The sequence below is a fragment of the Homo sapiens genome, chromosome 2, assembly GCF_000001405.40.
Source record: "Homo sapiens chromosome 2, GRCh38.p14 Primary Assembly".
Lineage (NCBI taxonomy): Eukaryota > Metazoa > Chordata > Mammalia > Primates > Hominidae > Homo > Homo sapiens.
The window spans coordinates 69,119,327-69,141,864 of record NC_000002.12 but is presented as its reverse complement, the minus strand read 5'-3'; the positions used below and the strand labels follow the sequence as shown (position 1 = coordinate 69,141,864).

General features: G+C 41.4%; 1 protein-coding gene across 6 annotated transcripts in view; it reads right to left on the bottom strand.

Annotated features, from left to right (window-relative positions):
* ANTXR1 (ANTXR cell adhesion molecule 1) overlaps window positions 1-22,538 on the bottom strand; it is a 236,184-nt gene that overhangs the window by 107,463 nt on the left and 106,183 nt on the right. For 4 of the 6 annotated variants that reach the window (NM_053034.2, NM_018153.3, XM_017005077.3 and 1 more), the window contains exons 11-12: window positions 18,779-18,848; window positions 17,222-17,300 (exon numbers count right to left, since the gene is read on the bottom strand). In NM_053034.2, coding sequence (NP_444262.1) covers window positions 17,222-17,300; window positions 18,779-18,848 — 149 coding nt within the window. Of the gene's footprint in view, window positions 1-6,683; window positions 11,756-17,221; window positions 17,301-18,778; window positions 18,849-22,538 lie in introns of those variants that run through there. The other 2 variants (XM_017005076.3, NM_001410840.1) reach the window with 2 other exon arrangements.

Below are 22,538 nucleotides of genomic sequence, written 5' to 3'. Positions count from 1 at the left end.
GAAAACAAACTTCATGGGGCAGATGCTGCTGGGACCAGGCAAAAAGCCTTCATGCCCTAAGGTCCTCACTGTCATACACCAGCCCATTGCAAAGTATCACTCATTCATGACAGATGGATGATGACATGAAAGTCAATGTACACAGTTAACCCATTTTGACACATTCATTCTTCAGCATTTTTTCAATACAGTTAATCTTAAATTATATTAAGACATAAAACAGACCTGCTTTTGCACATCCATTACTGGTATGTCTCCCAGGGTCAGGCAGAAGGAAACAGAATGACTGTCACACAATTGCTAATTGTCGAGACCCGAGACAGACTCACTCACGAGTGCTCCTGCACACCAGGTACTGCTTGTTGACTTGCGCACACTGGACTCAAAGACTTTTGAAAACTGCTCTTGCCCCTGAAACCTAAAACTCCACTGCCTGTCCTTCAGAATCATTGTAAATCTTTCCAATGATGGACAGGTGAATGTAAGACTTCTTTTTCTTTATGTATGTGAAATTGAGATAATTCCTGCTTCCCAGATTGGTTCTGTGATGACATGAGACAAGGCATGCAGAGATCCTGGCACATGGCCAGCCTTCAAAAAATGGCACTTCCCTTTCCATCCTCCCTTTCCTTCTACGTCCAAGCCAAGTTCCTGGTGATGTGCCCATGCTTGGCCAAAGTAAATGAAGTTGATTTCTTGAACAACCCTGTACAAACTCTGACTAGAGCTATGGTGTTAGTGGGTGGTCCCAGATTACACATTTGAGAAATTCAGGCCCTTAAGATTGCCATCCATGTGTCAAGAAAAGGGAAACCCAAGTGGAGTTTCCAATGGTAAATTTAATATCCTTGATCAAAGCTGATCAACCATAAATGAGGGTAACATAATGAAACACTGTGATTCATTCTGGCCACCTGAGAGGTAATTTGGGCTAGAGATGGCAATTAAATTGATAAGACACTGAAGATAGTAGATTCCTTAACCCAAAGTGGGGCAGTATAGAAAAAGTATTAGGTACCTAAACCTTTGTGGAACTCTTTCTAAAAAGCATGGCTATAAAGCAATGAGGCTGTTCATGTAGTGAACATAACTGAATTCCCACATCCAAATGAATCTAATTATCTCCAAACTAGTGGCTTTGGAGATTGGAGACTACCTCCAGTGATACAGCCATTGCCCAAAGCAATTCTGAAACACCTCCCTTGGGACTCTTTCTAAAGTCAGTTTATAGGCCCCCAAAAGAAAATCTTATAATCTCTTAGTCATGCTTTGCTTTTCATGAAAGCATTCATGAAAGTTCTGAGCTTGATAATCCATCATTCACCAGAACTGGTTCCTACAGCTTTTGGGGTTTTAGAAATCAAATGATGATGATATTCCCCTAATCCCCTACTGAGGATGTTCAAATATTGTGGCTTTAAAGTTATGACCATTTCAAAGCAAGAGTGCAGAATATATTTGGAATAGTGACAGCGTTGTTGGAGAAAGCATATGGTTTTCCAAAGCAAATCCGTTGAAGGAGCAGAAATCATATGGATGTATAAATCCTAGTTTGCTATAAATCTTATTACTTTATGCCTTATATGAATAATACCAGAAGGACTGAGATAAGCCATCATTAATATGCAGTTAAGGGGAAGATTGATGACATACTCCCACAAACTCAAGCTTTGAGGCTCTTATCACAGAAGGTGATAAGTACTCTTGTGGTACTCTTGTCACCCTGACCCAGTCATGACATTTCATGTTACTTACGATGGTGAAGGTGATTAAAGTAAATTTTGGATTCATTCAGCACTTCCCTTTCTCTCCATAAAATGCATGGAGCTTGTTAATCAAAACCAGTTTTCAGAGAATAATCCAGACAAGATGTAGCTTGTTAGTACTTGGAGTACTTTAGTTCTTGGAAGTGGGGTGTTGAAATAGGATTACAGAGAAGGTACTTAGTAGTGCTCAAATATTATGACACTGGAAGAGAAAGGCTGGTGTCTCATTTTCATTTTTTGTTTTACTAAATATAGTGATTCGTTTACTTACCGTTAATGTAGCCATTTATTTAATGTATATGCTCAATTGGTCTGATTGATCATCCCTCATGTATTAGTTGGCATCACCGTTACCTATTATTGGTAAGTAAACACCACCTACAATATACCATGGGCTGTTGCTTTAGATTACGAACTTGGAAAGGTGAATTTGGGTGGTGCCTCAAAAAGATAGATGCTCTACCCGAGCATCTATCATCTATGATCAACCATGAATCTATCATCCATGATCAACCAGAGGTAACCATGATGATCAATTCCTTAAAGCAATGTCATTAAACTGTGTAATAGGGTGTCAATAAACCAAGAACTTATTTCCCATTGAGTTTCTAATGCATGCTCAACAGTAGGAGGCATAGAAAGATAGACATCAACTTCTAACCCTGAAAGAGGTTGTCAGAGTCCAATTACAAAGTCAGGACTGATTCTCAGGGCTTGCCTGGAGAGCCGTACTGGTGAAATGCAGTTAAACTCTCAAAGGTGCTGCAATGTGCAGTGCCTGAGCTCAGAGCAGAGGGAGTTAGGAGGCTTGCAGAGGCCACTGAGTCATCCTGGGGCAGGTCCAGAAAGCACTGGGCTAGGCCTTAAGGCCACAGTGAAATTGGATAGGTGAAAGAAGAGAGGGCATTCCAGAAGGAAAATGAAATGTGATCAAAGGCACAGAGTAGAAATGGACATAATTTTATTTAGAGTGAGGATGTATGAAATACAAAATTGCCATTCAACATTTTTATCTGTTAGGGATCAGTACATTCACAAATTTTAAGGCCAGTAGGTAGGAGCTAACTGGGGCTGCCAGGTCAAGCTCCATCATAAGGAGCATTTTGTAGATATTTACTTTGGCTGAGTTTGCACCTTTTATATACAATCTCAAGAATCTTGAGCTTTATAGATACCTATAAAGTATTCTAAGTCCATAAATTTGGGCAATGCAGGTAAAATAAAATTGCTCTTTCATATTTCCTCAGCCTGCAAATGAAACAGTTTTCCTGATGCTGGGTTGTGTTGAAAAGAAACTCAGTAATATTTCAGTTGTCACTTATTCAAGTGCTTTTTATTTTTTTAAAAAATGAAACAAAACATGAAGCCCACTGCTTTGGGCACTGACTAAACTAACGTCTGTTCCAGTAGCCACAGTAATGGCAAAGGAATGTTAGTTATGTATCGTTTGTGGCTGACTCTTCTTTCGAGGAGAAATAAATTAACTCCCTGCCTTTCGCATTTCCTTGGTGCCTTAATGTATAGGTGAGAAGATGGCTGCTTTGCAAAAGGGAAGGTGTTTATATACCCTCATGGGACCTTGTCATTCTGTAGGGAACAGAGGGAGGAGTTTGACTGCCTTCTGGGAATGCAAACAATATAAATCCTGTCAGTCCCAAATACTATCCTGATTAGAAAATACACGTAATGACTCTGGGGTGACTTGTAATTTAGTGCAGTATGACTGTAAGCTGCCAACTAGGACAATATGATCCTGGTGGGTCATCTCCCATTCTCAGATAACTTAGCTCACTGATTTTGCCAATGTTGGACTATTTAAAGAGTTGACAATTATTTTAGCATTGGTAGAAAGGAGATCCTCTCAGATTTTCTCTGCTTTTTGGTCCTTTTCCCCAAACTATTAAATCTCTCCTCTTCCTCCTCCTCCCATTTCTCTTTCCCACTGACAACTCCTTCCCCCCTCTACCAATTTTTTTTTCTTTTTTCTTTCTTTTTTTTTTTTTCTTTTTTTTTTGAGATGGAGTCTTGCTGTTGTCGCCTCGGCTGGAGTGCAATGGTGCAATCTTGGCTCATTGCAATCTCCGCCTCCCGGGTTCTAGCAATTCTCCTGCCTCAGCCTCTTGAGTAGCTGAGATTACAGGTGTCCGCTACCACACCTGGCTAATTTTTGTATTTTTAGTAGATTTGGGGTTTCACCATGTTTGCCAGGCTGATCTCGAACTCCTGACCCCAGGTGATCCACATGCCTTGGCCTCCCAAAGTGCTGGGATTATAGGCGGAGCCACCGCGCCCACTGTTTTTTTTTTTTTTTTTTTGAGACAGGGTCTTGCTCTCTTGCACAGCATAGGGTGGTGCAATCATGACCTACTGCAGACTTGGATTCCTGGATTCAAGTGATCCTCCCACCACAGCCTCCTGAGTAGCTGAGACTACATGCACACAAGCCACCATGCCTGGCTAATTTTTCTATTTTTTGTAGAGATAGGGTCTCTACAAAAGACCCTGTTGTAGAGCCTGTTGCCCAGGCTCCCAATGACTTTTCAGATCCTTTTTCAATTTTGCACTTCTTCCTATAATTGTGCTTCTCTCAAATGGATTCACTGAACCAGGGTGCTCAACCCAAAAGACTATCTGGAATAGCCTCAATAACCCAGGAGGTGGCATAAATGGACACATTGGTCATTCACTAAAGCTTGGGTTCTTAGGCCATATGCCTTCTCTCAAGTTCTTAGAGACTAGGAATCCTTATTTCATATGCAATTTATGTAAGCTTGGTTTTCTGATATTCAGGTACCCAGAAGCTTAGACTGTCAAATTAGAAGTGCAGAGGGGAGTATCTAGATTAGAAAACACAGGTATGATATCAAGAAGCGAGAGACCAGAAAAAGTAGAACCATAAACTTAAAAAAAACACAACATAGTGATCAAAGACTGCTGTAGGGACAAACAGCTTTGCAAATTGAGAGTTTCATAGTAATCCGCCAAATTTTAGTTGGTGATAAAAATGGGGGAGAATAAAATGTACACATTTTACAATATTTTATAGCAACCATTTTGTGTACAAAGGCTTTCTAGGAAGGAAAGGGGTAGGTGGGGGATGAACTCAGTTTGCGTGTGCTTTCTTGGTTCTCTTGATCAATGATTTCTCTCCAGTACTACCCAGAACCCATGACAGCATTGACTTCAGCTTATCTTCCCATCCAGATTGACAAGCAAGTACACAGTTCTTTCTATACATGTCTATTTCTCTTTTCACCTCTTCTATGCCCAACTAATAGTTTTCTTTGTTACCTCTCCATTTATCTTGTTTTCTATTCTGTTCTTTCTTGGTCTTGGCCTTCTCTTTTTTGAAAGGGTTTACTCTGTCATTCTTCTCTAATCTCCTGTGTTCTATGCTTGGCTAATTGTCTTAAACTTTTATTCTTTTCTAACATAAACCCTCAAGATGACAAATTTCCCTGTAAGGACCACTTAGCTGCATTCCAAGTTTTGGTTTTGGCATCTTCATAATTGGTCAGTTCTAAGTATTTTCTAATTTACATTATGATATTACTTTGACTCACAAATGCTTTGGGTGTGTGTTTGAAATTTCAAAACATGAGATTTTCAAAATTGATTGGTAACTTGATTGGCTATTGATTTCAATTGTTTTTTATTTGGCACCAGAATATGATCTATATGTCATTTTTATAAATTTGTTGAGTCTTGGCTTACAGTACATGACTGCTTTTTTTAAAGTGTGAAAGTGTACTTAAAAAAGAATAGATATTCTCTGTTGGATGCAGATTTCCTATATACAGTAAGCCATTCCCCAAAGGGGAAAGGCTAGAGTTCTTATTTTCCACTGTGAATGGGGGTGGGCAGTGGAAAATAAGTGACTGATCAGTTTCATTCAGGATATATTTCATTATCTTTACTTTTGGTACAGTACAGACTGACAGAGAATATTTCATTGCATTTCAGATGTATCTGTGGTAGGATGTCTCACTATTTTATGAGCTATTAGGGAAAACACTGCCCATTATATCATGATATATTATTATGATCTGAAACATATCAATTTTAGAGATGTTAAAATGTGGAAAGAAAAGTGTGTCTTAGATTTGATGAAGTATGATATTTTTGTCATTAGTCTTATAGTTGCATAAGTCTTCATTGTACGCAACCAAAAAACTTTGGACCCTATTTTGAATGTTACGCTGAGGCTTTATCATGTGTCCACTAGATTATATTTAATTAAATTCTTCATTTATATTTTATTAATTCTTTTGGCTGCTTGATCTATTAATTACTGAGAGAATTGTATAGAAACCTCCTGTGATGGTGGATTTATCAATTTCTCTTTGCAATTCTATCAATTTTTGCTTTATATATGCTGAGGATATGTCATTAAGTGCAGATCAGAATTATTATAACTTCCAGGTTAACTGTTCCTTTTAACATTATGTAATGGTCCTCTTTAGACCGATAATTTTTTGCCAATAAGTTTGTTATCAAATATTAATATAGCTATACTAACTTTCTTTTGGTATTTGCCTGATAAAACTTTTCACATGCTTTTATTTTCAATCTTTCTGTGTCCTTATGTTTTATTGAATATATGTTTTATTGTAAATCACACATAGCTGGATATTTTAAAAACACAATCTGTCAATCTGAGTTTTTAAACTGCTGAGTTTGGTCCATTATATTTATTTTGCTTGTGGATTATTTTGATTTAACTTCTAGTTCTACCATCTTACTATTGGCTTATCTCAGTGTTTTCTAAAGTATAGATTCAGAAAAATATTTTTTTTCTCAATTTACTCTCAAAACAAGGAAATGTCAAACTTAGGGAAAACATTCTTTAAAATACTTAGATATAAACATATTGAAAGTCAATTGCTCAAACATCCAAGAAAAACAAATCAGCACAAATCATCCAAAACATCTTTTAAAAGATATTTTTATACATATAAGGGTTACAAGGGTTGTCAAAATAGAGATGTTGGCAAACTACTTTTATTTCAGTTCATAAACAATATTTGAGATCTGAGTTCCGCACTCTGATATTCCTGTGGTCTTTTACCGTCTCTAATGATTGTATGTAAAACCACAAGCCATCCTGTTAAAATAATAATAATAGTAATCATAATAATAAAAATACTGGGACATTGTAAAAAAAATACCTTGAGTTATGTATGGCTCTATGGAGACTGGCTAATAAATAGAGGAGACTGATTTGGGACTAATGTGTTGTTTGTAAATTACAGGGTGTGTTTTGAGATTACTTGAAAACAGATTATTCTCAGGAGTTTGAAGTACTCTGGTCTGAAATATGATCCCACTTGTATTAGGTGGAGGTTGGCCAATCTGAACTGCACTAAGAGAAGTTGTCTCCAGTATCACCAACAGAGCTCTCTTAGATTCATTTTCAAGATGTAAGAACCAAACTTATTTGTGATACTGTATAGGACTGGTAGTATTTAGTTTACTCCTTTCCTAACATACTTTTAGGTCTACAGTCACAGCCTCTCAGCAGCATAAGGAGTCTGAAAGCTTTTCTATTCCAATCCCCACTCTGAGGCATGAATGGTGATTACATTATTCTGCCAAGTTGTCCTGCTGCCTGTGCTTGACTGCAACTATAATAGCGAGCTCATTCCCACCCAATGCAGCTAATTAAAAAGGCCTTTTTAAAAACGAAGCCAGAAACTGTTCCTTTGAGCCTATTCTACCCCTTGGATCTATACAACAAATAATCTGTAGAATTAGGGCTCTAAAGGTATAGCTGCATGTGTTTCAGCGCAGCCCTTTGAATATTGTCTCTATGCTAAGTATGCCCCAGGCTAAAGAGCCCCAATTCTATATTCTACATAACATACCGTATTTGGTAGTATTTCTCATACACTCAGTTTCTCTATGTTCTCCCTTGGAGTGTCCTTGGTACTGAACACAATATTCGAACGGAGATTTTAACTTCACCAAGTTGAGAGGTCCCATCACCTCCTTAGTTTCAGATACTATACTTCTGCTAATTCAACCAGAAGTCAGAGGCTTTGGAAACCATCTCACTGCACAAATTCATATAGAGACCACAACATCAGTACAAGAAAACTAAGATTGGGCATCTACTGTGTGCCAGGCCCCATGTCAGCTCTTCTAAGTACATTATTTCAGTCTAAAGTCATACACCCTGTAAGCAGCAGAACCATGATTTTAGCCACATTGATCTGATCCCAAAGCCCACTTTTCCTCTCAAGTCTTTCCTCTGTGTTTTGCTAAGCCACATATTTCAAAGGACCTATCACCTATAATTACAGCAATAACAAAGTGCGTCAGTGGCTATGCTTTTTCAAGGGCTGAGTATGAGGCTCTGATTCACTTGTAGCCCCAATGCTGTGGATTGGTCACTCTTGGTACTAAGTTCCTTTAGCTCAAATAATGGAAAAGTAAACTAGAGCCTACTCCTTTTCCAGATGACCAAATTCACAAATCAGTGGCATCCAAATTAATGCCATTTTGTTACTAATATACTTAAAGCATACACATGCTAAATTAAGCCTCCTAAAATAATGCATTGTGCTTCCCTCAAATGGCTTCCCGTTGCCCAAACTCCATATTCTGTCATTCAAACCCTCTTCAAGGTGAGTCTCCAATCTCCCTTCCAGTTCAGTTTTGCCTCATTCTTCCAGGTTATGTGACACTGAATGAGTAAGAAGCGGTGGGTGTGGGAAAGTTGGACAGGAAGTGGAATAATATTGTTGGGGCGAAGGAACCTACAGGGGAAAGTCAGTTAGTGAGTCCTGATTCTGTTCTCTGCAACTGGTTGTTTGGAAGGGTCTTCTTTTCTTCAGAGGTTGTTTCCTGGTATTGAGAAACAGTTTGGGGAGATCCTTGTTGGGGAAAATACACTCATGGGATAGAGTTTTGGGACTGAGCTAATCATGAGCTGCCTACTTGTTATACCTGAATTTCTGGAATAATCTGTCCAGCTTCGCTTTGCAGAAGGGGTGAAAATCCTTCTTAGGTAACTGGGAAGTAACTCACCAGGCCCATGAAGTGGACACTCCTCAGAGCGTGCCATGTTTGTGTCCATTGACTTATCTAAAGGTTCACGAGTCTTTGGAACAGGTGGGGAATTTTAGGGTACCTGTGTGATATTTGCTTTTATACCCCAAATTGTATAATATTTACCTCTTTAAGTAATATATCCTGCCTTGGCAACTGTATTGTAAGCCTCTGGAGGGCAAGGACTGGCTATTCTTCGAGTCCCTAACACTTTGCCCAGAGTATAGATTTAAAACACGTTGGTCCTGATTGTTATGATATCATTGGCTCCATTTGCTACCAGCAACCTCCTCCCCATCCTTCTTTCCTTAGTAAAGAGGCCCACATGCATAAAGCACTGGAATGAATTGTCTGTCCCAAAGACAGCTACCCACTTGATTGATGGACTGTTTGCTGACCTTGGAAAAGAAATAGAAGACAAAAATGTCTCTGATTTCTACTTTCTCTGAAGAGTACGCAATAATTTTTTATTATGTTGGAAGGTGAGATTGCCACTCAGCACAGGCTACTGAATTCACTCCCTACCGGGCTGGTGAAATTCAAGAGATTTTGGCAAGGGCAGCCATGCCAGCTGTCTGTTTACCTAAAGAGTCATAATGACTACAAAACCAGGCTGGATTTGTATTCTCTCATCGCTTTAAAGCAACTGGTAATGGAAATGAACTGACTTAGAAAACAGACACCTGGAAATTTCCTCCAAAGACTGTGCGGGGGATGGTCACTGCCCTCCTCTGCTGTCTTTTACCTGCAGTCACTGTGGCCTCTATCTCTGGGCTCCAGCACATCCTCTTCTGAGCCAGTACTCACTAAAGCAGACTGTGCATCCTCAGCCCCAGCTGGCAGCATCCAGATTAGCTGAACTGCTGTAATCTATGTTTCTGGTATTCCAGGGTGAGCTCAGGCCATGCCAATGTTCCCTGGGTCACAGCTTTTCTGGAGTGATCTTGAGTCTATCAGTCTCTATGGTTCTGCTTGGCTTCCAACCTTGTGCTGCAGATCCTCACAGACTAGAGGCCTGCCCAGAATCTTGATCCAGTTAGTGGGCTATTTCTACACCCTTCTACCAAGTCTGCACCCCAGGCAGGGGTCTGCTCCTACTGGAGCTGGTGCTTTTATGATGATATCTTTGACTATTGCCCTTCCTGGGAACGCTGGTTATAGTTTCTTACCTGGCAGATTTTTTCCCCTGTTAAATTATGCTCAAGCTCCTTGGATATGAAGATAGAATTGCTGGCCATCCTTTTCTGAAGTCTACCTCCCAACCAACTCAGAGCCCCCTGTTCTGATTCTACCTCCTTCTGGCTCCTTTTCTTTCCTGCCAGTAGGTGCCATCATGGTACCAGTATGACCCTTGATTGGGTTCATTCATTTATTCACTCAACCATCATTATTTGCTGAGTAATGAGTATGTGCAGACATTGTGCCAGGTGCTGGGTTGTGACGGTGAACAAGATGGTCTGTTTTGCCTCAAGAAACATAGGGGCGATACTATGCCTGAGAGACAACCGCTCTTTCCAATGTCTGCGTTTGCTTTATGACAACTCTCTAGTTGTTTCCAAAGCTATAAACTACCTCTATATGGCAGCCGGAGGCCCGCCTTCCTGTGAAACATTGGTAGTCATGAAGTGTTGAAAATAACCCGGATGTTAAGAGGGTCTTTCTTCCTGAAATAATGAACAAGTCTGTGGCTCTCCAGGCCTTTGCATGAGAGGAGGAAGTGAAGGCACGACTTGGAATATGGAAAAGAGGAATTTGGAGACAAAATTTTGGAGTCTTTGTCTGGCAACATATAAGTGAGAAGGTCCCTAGGCTTGTCATCTTGAGCTAAAATTATTTTTTTAGGCAAATTCCTATCTTTATATCAGAAAGAGGGGCCCCAAAGAAAGTACATATAGAATAGAACAAAAGAACATTTAAGAATCCCAAGATTCTGAATGCATGATAGATTTTTTTTTGTGGCAACAGAAATTTTGCATGTGGTAATAATGTATCAACTTTATTTGCTTTAATTCATGTGTTTAATTTGTCTAAATATTTCCCTATGTTACTATTTACTTGATTCATTTATTGAGGAAAACTCTTCAAAAGTAGCAAAGAGTCAGCCTGCCACCCAGTCTTGTTTGACTTATCACCACATCTGATTTACTGGTGTTTTTCTTCCTAGTTATCTTGTGGGCAACATCTTCAAAGATTTTTTCCAGCCTGCTCCTAAAATACAGTCTTATCGTAGAGACTCAAAAGGAGCATGCTTCTTAATCAGGGGGAGATAGCCTGTTTATAAGCCACGGGACATGTACAGTGAATCTAATGGGGCAGGGCATTAGACTTTTACTTGGCAAGGAAAGTTAGGTCAATAACCTAATACACAGCTGTCATTTTTTGAACAGACTATTATGTACCTCAAGCCCCTTATATACTTAATCTTTACTATAAAAATGCGAGACAGGTTCTGAAACAGACTCCAGGTAAACCTGTCCAGGATCACCCTGGAAAGTCAAGGGGCTGGGATGTGAAATAAAGATTTTCGACTCAATATCCTGTATTCTTAATTCCTCCATTATCCTGCAGTTATAGAGCAGTTGTTTTCGCTTTGATGTTTCAGGTCTCAGTTTGTTGAATTTCAGGTTTCATTCAAATGGCATTTCTCTAAACAGTGATATGACATGGATCCGCTCAAAGTTATTGAACCTTGTTGCTACTGCAGTCAGGCTGTTTTTCATATAAATCAGGAGAAAAAAACAGGGGTCTTCATTTATTTAATGTTGAATTTGGAACCTTGTGTCTAACTTTAGGTCATTTTCTTTTCTTCAAAGATTGTGACTTTCCAACCCAGCAGCCAGTACAAAGCAAATCCTGATCAGGGTTAACAGGGATGAGCATCAACTGGGCCGCACTGCCACATCTTGGGTGTTCAAGATCAAGGGTGTAGAGCGTACATCCTACAAAGATAGTTGCCAACTTGAGAAATGTCCCCAAATTGAAAGGCCCCAGAAATGGATGCAAAACAAGAAGGAAAAACAACAACAAAGTCATGGTCTGGGAGAGCCCATGAACAAACTATGCTCAGAGATATATCCATCCCTGGTTCGGGTTGGTGTCTCTTTAGGGCATGGCCTCGTCCCACTTCTTCACCTGTAATTACTACGTTTCAAATCACTCAGGTGTTATCTCTCCATGAAGCTCTCCTGACTCTTCTTGCCTTCACTTATCCTTCCCTGCTCTGAAATCCTATGGCATTTACACCTGACTCATACAATCTTGTTCTTTATTATACATTTATACACTCTTTTTTTTTTTTTGAGATGGAGTCTTGCTCTGTTACCAGGCTGGAGTGCAGTGGTGCAATCTCGGCTCACTGTAACCTCTGCCTCCCAGGTTCAAGCGATTCTCCTGCCTCAGCCTCCTGAGTAGCTGGGATTACAGGTGCACGCCACCACACCAGCTAATTTTTGTATTTTTAGTAGAGACAGGGTTTCACCATGTTGGCCAGGATGGTCTCGATCTCTTGACCTTGTGAACTGCCCGCCTCAATCTCTGAAAGTGCTGGGATTACAGGCGTGAGACACCACGCCCGGCCTATTATACACTCTTTTATATGCTTGTTGGACTCTTTCTCCAACTGGATTTTAGGCTCCTTAAGGACAGTGACTAGGAGACACAGTAGGAGTTCAAGACATACTTGATTGATTTCTTGATTTTTGGACACTTTGGGTGGGAAATAATAGAATTTTTAAGTACCTAAAAGAAAACAATCTTCATGAAAAGTTCTTTATGTTTCTAAAATTTGCTTGCTTTGTTCAAAAGGACAAATCTCTTTTCAATACTTTACTGAAAGCAGCACTATATTAGTAATTTTCTCAACTTCTGGCTGGAGTTTGGTGAAGAAAAGTGAGGCAGTTAAGACTACAGAGATGGGTGTATTTAAATATCTGGTGAGAGAGGACTCTGGATGTTTGACCATTTTCTATAGTCATGGAGCTCACCAAAGTTTACCATTTGTATAGGAATGTTTTAGCTCTTGGACGGAAAAATCTCTTTCCTGTAAAACTCCATGGAATTTCTGCTTCTGGCTCAGGCAACAGTTATTCATTTGCAGACCTTGAAAACTTGTGACACAGGTGTCCAAATGGGCACCAAATAAAGTGAGAAAAGAAAAGTCTCAACTACATATTTTAAAAATATTTTTGGTTCCAGGTGATGAACTGGGCAGGCTGTGACTGGCATTGACAATATCCGTTTACTCAGACCCAGGGGATCACTTTTGATTGAAAAACCTTGTCCTCCAAACCAGCTTCCCAAGAAACAAACGAAAGTCCAAGACCTTACTTCATATTTTGGATACCCACACGTTCCACCTGCATCTCTATTTTGCCCAATGATAGTTTCAGCCTTTAATTTGAGTTGCTGTGTAGGACCTGGTTGGGGACTGGAGTTTTATGTTTGAATATGAGGCCCCTTTTCTGGATGAATTTGGCCATCTCTTCTTCCCCCTTTCAATCACCTGGGCTTGGTCTAGTGATAAACATGTACCCCCGGATACATGTTGTCTCAGAGGAGCCCCTTGGTTATAATGAGACTCTGAATTAAAGAGCCAGCTCTCTAGGAAGAATCTCAAATTAGTTAAAACTTTTTTCATTAAGCTTCCACTATAAAACAGCTAATAATTACTGAGCACTTACTACCTGCTAGGTCTTCTGCCAAATACTTTACAAATATTATTTCATTTAATCTTCACAATACTGATATAAATTTTTTATTATCTTAGTTTTATCGATTGGGAAATTAAAGCACAAAAGGGCTAAACAAATTTTTTTTTTTTTTCCAGAGATGGAGTCTCGCTCTGTCACTCAGGTTGGAGTGCAGTGGCATGATCTCAGCTCACTGCAACCTCCGCCTCCCATGTTCAGGCTGATTCTCCTGCCTCAGCCTCCAAAGTAGCTGGGACTACAGGCATGTGCCACCATGCCAGGCTAATTTTTGTATTTTAGTAGAGGCAGAGTTTTGTCATGTTGGGCAGGCTGGTCTTAAACTGGCCCTCAAGTGATCCACCCGCCTATGTCTCCTAAAGTGTTGGGATAACAGACATGAGCCATGGCACCTGGCTAGGGGCTAAACAACTTATTAAGGTCACATAACCAGTACACAGCAAAACTGATTCCCTGATTGTTCCCCCTCCTCCCTAAGTCTTCTTCTCCCTCTGTCTTCTTCCTGTCTGGCAGCTGATGGCAACTCCATCCTTTCAGTTTCTTAGGCCAAAACCCTTGGGACATTCTTGATTCTTCTCTCTCTCTAAACCCTATATTCAATGCTTTGGAAAATTCATTAGCTCTGCTTTCAAAATAAATCCAACTCTGACAACTTCTCTCCACCTCCATTGCCCTCCCCTGATTCAACCCATCATCACCTTTTGCCTGAAATATTGCCATAACCCTCCTAACAAGTCACACTGCTTCCATCTTTGTCTCTGTCTGCCTTCAGCCAAGTAATCTTCTAAATATAAGTCAGACCATGTTTTCCTCTGCTCAAAAGCCAAAGTCCTTCCACAACCCTGCACATCCTATCCCCAGGCACCTCACTGCCTGCTGCTATCCTGAGAGGGAATAAGGACAGCAGCAGGCGTGGAGATGCCTGGGGATGGCACCTCCCTGCCTGCTCTTCTGTGAACACCAAGGATCGCTGGCCACAGGGTCTTAGCATGAGGGCTCTTGGTTTGGGATATCCCACCCTTCCCCACACTCCCATAGCCTCATGGTTAACTTCCTCACTATCCAGGTTGCTACTCAAATACCACCTTTTCAATGTATCCATTACTCTATTTACAATTGGAACCTACTCGCTTAGGTAGTAGGAAATCCTCTCACTCTCCTCTAATTATCCTATAGCATCTATTACCTTTTGCCATAGCATGTAGTTTGTTTACTATGTTTATAACTCATTGTCTTCCCTTCCCCCATCACACAGGTATTTTTATCTGTTGCATTCTCTGATATAACCCAGGCACCCAGAGTGGTACCTAGCACATGGTGATCAATAAATATGTGTTGAATACATGATTGAAAGAACTTGGATCACAAATCTTAGAGTGGTTATAATTTTGTTGTAAACGAATACAGCATTCTCACATGAAAATGGAATAATGCAGAATATATTATGAGGTGGTCTTGATCAAGGGTCAAGTGAAGAGAAGATTTAGTGGCATGTGCTCAGATGAGGGAGATGTAAGATGTAACTGGAGGCTGCCGTGGGTTGGGAAGGTGTAGTGGGACTCAATGGGAATTCTTCTAATTTTGCAATGCATTGGCAAGGACACCTTTTCTTCTTAATTAGAGGCCCATGATTTAAAGTTGTAGCCCTGTATTTGCCATACCACAAGTTTAGTCCTGAGATGTCTTCCCTTCCCACTTCCTCTGCTCTGTGGTCTCAAGGGCAGTGGCTGTTTCTTGGTGGTATGGTCAGACATAATGAGAAATACAGATCCAACTGTTGGATCACTCAAAAGCTGGCAGGAATCTGAAATGGAGTTATTTGATTTAGAGTATTTTAATCATTTCCTGCAGGTTGGCAGGTCCCAGAAGGGTCAATTTTCAACAGGATCAGGCAGGATACACTTGAAGAAATTTCAACACTTCTGCATACAGTTTTTAAAATTTGGTGGTGTCCTACTGAGGCCTACAGACTGAGGGTTGACCAGATGTCTGAGACATGGACATTTCTCAGTGGTAACACTTCTCTGACACAATCCTAGTTTCTTGCTTTGGTCAAGTAAAACTTTCCCATCATCTGTACCTTTACAATGGGTTACCCTGCTTTCAAGAAAATTGGTTTGCTCCTAACACAAGATGAAAATTGGTGTTGGGGGCATTAGGAGGGAGACTGTTGTCCATCATGAGGACTGGCTTCCTGTTCTTTTATGATAACCCATTTCTATATTATCTACATTCAGTGCATGCCTGCTCTTTCTTATCCAACTGTGATGGTATTAAGGACACAACTCCAGTTACTGAGAGGTTCTAACAACACAGCTTCCAAAGGCCAACGAGGAAGTGACTATAGTATAATAACTTCCTAAGCTGACCATCAGGCCAAACATTAGTTTCTAGAATGAGCTAATGGAGAAATGTATTCAGTTAAAGAAACTGAATACGCCGACAAAGGTTATTTTGGAAATGCTCATGTTAGGGGCTGATGTCTTTTTTTAATTTTTTTTTTTGAGACAGGGTCTTACTGTCACCCAGGCCGGAGTGCAGTGGTGCAATCTCAGCTCACTGCAACCTCCACCTCTCGGGCTCAAGCCATCCTCCCATCTCAGCCTCCTGAGTAGCTAGGACTACAGGTGTGCGACATCATGCCCAGCTAATTTTTGTTTTTTTTGTAGAGATAGGGTTTCACCATGTTGCCCAGGCTGGTCTTGAACTCCTGGGCTCAAGTGATCCATGCACCTCAGCCTCCCAAAGTGCTGGGATTACAGGCCTGTGCCACTGTGCCCAGACAAGGTTGAGGTCTTGACACAAGCTAACTAAGCCCTGACTGCCCCCTGACAGGCTGAGCTCTGAGACATTGACAGTGGGCAGGACCAACTCCAGAGGCTGACGGGTTCTCAGTCACAGCTGCACATGACAACCTCCTGGGGATGCCGTGGAACCACCAAAGCTAGGGCTCATGCCAGAGGCTTAGGTTCAGTCAGTCTCGAATGCGGTCAGGGCACCAATCTTTTTAAAAAGCTCTCCAGGTGATTTTATATATAGCCAGGAATGAAAACTACTTGATGCGAAGGCTCCAGAGAAGGGCTATCTGAGGAGCTGGGAGAGAGAATGCAGTCCCCGCTCTTGCCTCACAATCCCTATTGTAAGGGCTCCTTCCCCACTCTCTCTCCTGCTTCATCAGTTTTCCATTTTCTCCTGGATTATTTCCACAATAATAAGCAAGTTGCAAATTCTCCCATCCTAAATAAAATGACCTCCCCAAACTCCACATTTTCCTTCAGCTCATACCCATTTTCCTGCATCCCTTTAGAGATGAACTCCCTAAGACGTTCTTTCTGTATATGCTGTCCAATTCCCTTCCGTCCATTCTCTCCTAAACCCACTCTATCTGGGACTCCACCCTCATTACTGCACAGACATAGCCCATCTTACCGTCTGGTCAGGCCAGTGACTTTAGATCTCCCCTTCAGCAGAAATGGGGAAGCTGGAGAACTTAACACAGACATGCCTGATACACTCTGGGGTACAGCACACCCCAATCCAGCCTGGGGCTGGTGGAGCAGTGCTGGGATCAAAGCTCAGCAAGCAGAACGAAGAACCAAAAAACTTTCCAGGGTACCTTTGGAGAAGATTACTGCTTAAGAAACGTTGATAGTGACAATGATAATGAGATCTTTAGTAAAGGGAAAGGTTATGACTTACACAGTGTGTGGTGGTGATGATGACAGAACTGGAGATAAAAGAGAGGCCATCGTTCATGCTGACCTGGAGTGCAGCTTTCCTGCAATGACAACAAGGGAAGCAGACTCTCAGCAGGGCGTGCAATGAGCAACAGGCTGAGAGCCAGACACACAGGACTCCTTTGGGCTCTGCTCTTAAATACCCTTGAGACTGGAGTCTCTTCTCCAGGGGAGGAGGGGTCTGAGTTTCCTCTTTTGTAAAATGTCGGGGGTAGTCTGTATAGCCCATCCTCCTTTAAAGTTTAGAGAAGTGTCAGGATATGCTTGGCTGGTATATTAAGGCAGTGCATTCAGACGTTCCGGCATTGCAGTGAGTGGCATTGAATGGGCAAAGCTTACTTTCATTTAACTTGCTTGTCACATTGTAGTTGGACAAAGTATTCTTCAAAAATAGTCCAAGTCAATGGGGGTAGACTGGGCTAACTATAAATGCAATATTCTGCTGTTATCTGGACTCTCAGTGATTTGATGGGGGTGGCTTTGTTACCATTCAACAGACTCACAGAAGTAAAGCAGAAGATGCATTTGTCTTCCATCTCTTCCCACTCTAAGACACTCGCTGGAAACTGACCTCTTGTTTTGTTGCATTTCGCAGCATGGACACTGAGCTAATTTGTGAAATCAGTGGCATCACAGATTGATGCTGGGCAACCAGAGTTGGAGGTTTCACAATATGAACACACGATTGAAGGCAAAATTCAGATGAACAAGTTCAACTTTTTTCCCTTAAAGCCTCCATTCTTTGTCTAGCCTATTATAGACACGGTTTTGGAGAGGTTATTTTTGTTGTTATTGTTCTCTGCACCAGCATTGCCTCATTTCCCATGTATTTCTTTTCTTGCTCAGGGTGCCCATTCTCTTTCTTCTGTTGATGGTTTTGATCTCATCTCACTAGTGCTTATTATAATTGCATCACCATGAGATTTTCCCCTATAAATTAGTTCAGGGAATTTTTTCCGGTCTGGGTGAACATCCGATGCTGCGCAGAGTCAAGGAAGGAGCACCGTGTGGGACATCAGAAGGCGTGAGTCTGGGGTCTTGGCTCGCCATGAACCAGCCATGGCCCTACTTGGCCTTTCTGAGCCTCCCTTTCTCTAAGGAGGAGATAACAATTATCTAGCGGGGCAATGGTGATGACAGAGCGAGGTCAAGTGTGTGAGAACTTTCTAGAAGTGTAGGTGTGATTAAGCCAGACAGACCTTGGATTGAGCCCAGCTCTTCCACTCACTGCTGTGTGACCTTAGGCAAGCTATTTAAAGTCTTGCAGCCACAGTCTCTATGTCTGTAAAACTGGGATAGTGGGAATACCTAGTTAATGGGGAACCTGGGAGAATGAAGTGAGATACTTTGTAAAACACTTATCCTGGCGTCTGGGTCACTGTAAACACTGGCTCCGTCATAAGCTGGAGGAACCTAGAGAAAGGCTCCACTTTCTCTAGATGCTTTCTTTTCCCCTGTCCCCGTACACCTCCTCTCTCTCTTCCCTGGCTGGGAGGTTCAGTTGCTGGTGAAAACTTACATGCCAACTTCTTTTAAGATAGGCGCTGGACACAGTAAATAAGTATCTTCCACAGAAAAGGGCTTCTCATCTGCAAAAAGGAAATCACTGGATTAAGAAGAGGGAGGTGAGTTTATAATTTCAAATTCAATGACTTCTAGAGAACATCAACCAAGTCCAGGGAGATACCAAAAAAACAAAAATCTTTTTGAGCTTAAAAACTTAAGCTGTACAGCAAACTATCGCAAGGACAGAAAACCAAACACCGCATGTTCTCACTCACAGGTGGGAACTGAACAATGAGAACACCTGGACACAGGAAGGGGAACATCACACACCGGGGACTGTTGTGGGGTGGGAGGAGGGGGGAGGGATAGCATTAGGAGATATACCTAATGTAAATGACGAGTTAATGGGTGCAGCACACCAATATGGCACATGTATACATATGTAACAAACCTGCACGTTGTGCACATGTACCCTAGAACTTAACGTATAATAATAATAAAAAAACAAAAACAAAAACAAAACTCTTGAGCTGTAAAACCCATTAGCAGTGAACTCAAGTGCTCCTGCCTGAATCATAGCTTCCTGTGGTATGTGCAGTTGAGTCAACTGGTGAGAAAATAGTGAGTGAACTCCTAGATAGAGCAGGAATCACTGAGGGGAAACAAGAAAATATTAGACTGGTCCTAAGGAGTTCCACGTCTAAGGGTAGTTGGAGAGATAAGCCATATTTGTGGAAAAAGTTTGCTGACAAATGACTTCACCAAAGTATCATTGGGCTTCATAAGACAGGAAGCTTCCTGTACATGGCTGTCATAGTCAGGTCTTCGGAAAGCACAAAACATGAGCTATGCTTTTGTGCAGAGATGGGGAAGAGACATTCTTGGTTGGAGGAATGGCATGAGCAAAGACAGGGCATACTAAAGGCATGTTCCAAGGTAGGATATAAGAAGAATTTGAAAAGATCAGTATAGAAAGTTTGGTCAAGTTCTTTGAGTTAGCCTGAGGGATTTGCACAAAGTTCTGTAAGTTATAGAAAGAACTTTGGTGGGTTTTTGAGTAAAACTGAAGTGATGATTTTGGAGGTCATAGCAGATGTAGCTGTAGAAGGTGAATCAGAGTCGGGGACTCTTGGAGTAGGGAAGTTCTTGTGCTTCTTCTAATGGATGACCAGGAAAAAGCTTAAAGTGGCTTCAATTCAAGCTCACTAAGAACTTCATTGTATCCCAGTTTCTGGGGCCAGAGACAGGGTTGAGAAGTTATTATACTAAGTATATAATAGTCATCCCTTCAAGCCTCAGCTTTGATTGGGTACATGTGCTGTACAAAAAGGCTGTGGTAGGGCCTACAGGTGAAATGAAGATGAATAAGATCTATGTCATTAATCAGGCTGTGACTACAAGTTCCTATAACTAGAAGATACAAAGGAATACATATATTATTAAAGGATAATATTCTGCTTTTGTTGTGACACTGATGTCGCTTATGATATCTGCAAGTCATGACTGCAGAATATAGCTGACATTAAACTCTTGCCTGAGTGAAGGTTAGGAAGCTGCCTGGGATGGGAGATAGAGGACACATCTGAGTGCTAAGCACAACGTCCCCATTGGCAAGAGGAGGAAGAAGATGTACAGGAAAATCTTCAAGTGGTGAAAAGTTAGGGAGGTTATTCCAGGTCATTTGTTTATTCATTCATTCAACAAATATTTATTGAAGACCTACTATATACTAGAGATGCAGGCTTTGAGAAGAGAAACACAGTCTCTGCTTTCATGGATTTTATAGGAGGCAGGAGAGACAGTTATTTAACATAATTAAAAAATAAATTCTTTGAGTGTGTACCATGTGCCAAGCAATGTGCTAAGGCTTGCAATGAACGAAACAGATAAAGTACCTTGTCCAAGGAGCCAACATGCTAGTAATTACACAAATTGTTATGTAATTATAATTGTGATGAGCACACAAAAGGAGGAGGGGGCTGGCCCTCATCTGGGAGGTCAGGAAATGCTTCCCCAAGGAAAGGCTATTTAAGCTGAAACCTGAGGTTGGGTGATGGGATGGAGTGGGAGAGGGGGAGGCACTGCAAAGATCCCGGGGCAAGAAGGACCCCAGATCTTTTGAGAGCTAAAAGAGGGCCAGTGAGGCTGTTGAATCTAAGTGAGACAGACAATGGCTCCAAATGAGGCTAGAAAAGGCAGCAGGGCCAGATGACCACGGCCACATAGGCCATGATGAAGCTTTTGAAATTTTTTCTAAGCGCAACAGGGAACTACTGGAGGTTATCCTCATATTTGGAATCAGCTGTTGGCAGATGATGGAATGTTGCAGGAATGGTGACGCTGTATTGAGTAAAATTATAAAGCTTATGATGACAGTGTAGGATCATGTAGTACCTAAATTGAGCATTATTATTATTATTATTATCTTTTTTTTCTGAGAGTCTCACTCTGTCACCCAGGCTGGAGTGCAGTGGCACAATCTTGGCTCACTGCAACCTCTGCCTCCCGGGTTCAAGTGATTGTCCTGCCTTAGCCTCCCAAGTAGCTGGGATTATAGGCACCTGCCACCAGGCCCACCTAATTTCTATATATTTTTTTAGTACAGATGGGGTTTCACCATATTGGCCAGGCTGGTCTCAAACTCCTGACCTTGTGCTCCGCCTGCCTCGGCCTCCCAAAGTGCTGGGATTACAGGCGTGAGCCACCGCACCCGGCCCAAGCATTATTATTTTCAAGATGTCCTTCCATCGGTGATGATAATACAGGCAGTCCTCAACTTAACAATGGTTCGACTTAAACAATACTGTGACTTTATAAAGGTGCTTTCAGTTGTGTATATTAATGGTGAGTACCCATACAACTATTCTGTTTTTCACTTTCAGTATAATATTAAATAAATTACATGAGCTATTCGACATTTTATTATAAAATAGGCTTTGCGTTAGATGATTTTGCCCAACCATAGGGTAATGTCAGTGTTTCGAACATGTTTAAGGTAGGCGAGGCTAAGCGATGATGTTTGGGAAGTTAGGTGTATTAAATGCATTTTTGAGTTATGGTATTTTCAACTTACGATGGATTTATCAGGACATAACCCCATCTTAAGTCAAGGAGCATCTACAATGACAGCCAGACTTGCCAGCGCATGTTGCATGCAGGCAATCTCTAAGCACTTCCTGTATGTCACTTAGTCAAATTTAAACTTCTAGCAGAGCTATCAGGATGGTGTATTATTCCTTTCATTTTAAAGGTGAGGAACAGACATAGAGAGATTAAGTAGCTTGTCCAAGGTTACACACGGGAGCTTGGATCTGCACCCAGGCAGCCTGGCTGCAGAGTCTGCATGATTATCTAATAGGCTATAAGCACCAGCCTTGATAGAAGCTGTGCTTCGTTTCCTTGTAATGACAACCTCGTGAGTTAAGGCAGGGCAGGGATCATTAGGCTCATATTTCAGATGCAAAATGGAGGCTGAGCGGGATGACAGTGAGCTAAGGTTGCACCGCAAGCCAGAGGCAAAGCCAAGACTAGAAATGAACTCTGCATTACTCTTTTCTCACTAAGAGATTCTCCATTCCAGGAAAGGCTTGTATTAGAGAATAAACTGAACTGGGGACAGGCGTGGCTGACTCGAACCTATATTTATTTCCTCGTGGCCATGGCTTATCCTGTTGCACATGCACCAGCAGTACCTGGGAGTACAGATTCCTGTCCACATAGCCAGCCCACAGAGCCACGGGGCAGCCACAGAGCAGCCACAGGAGGCCATGTGA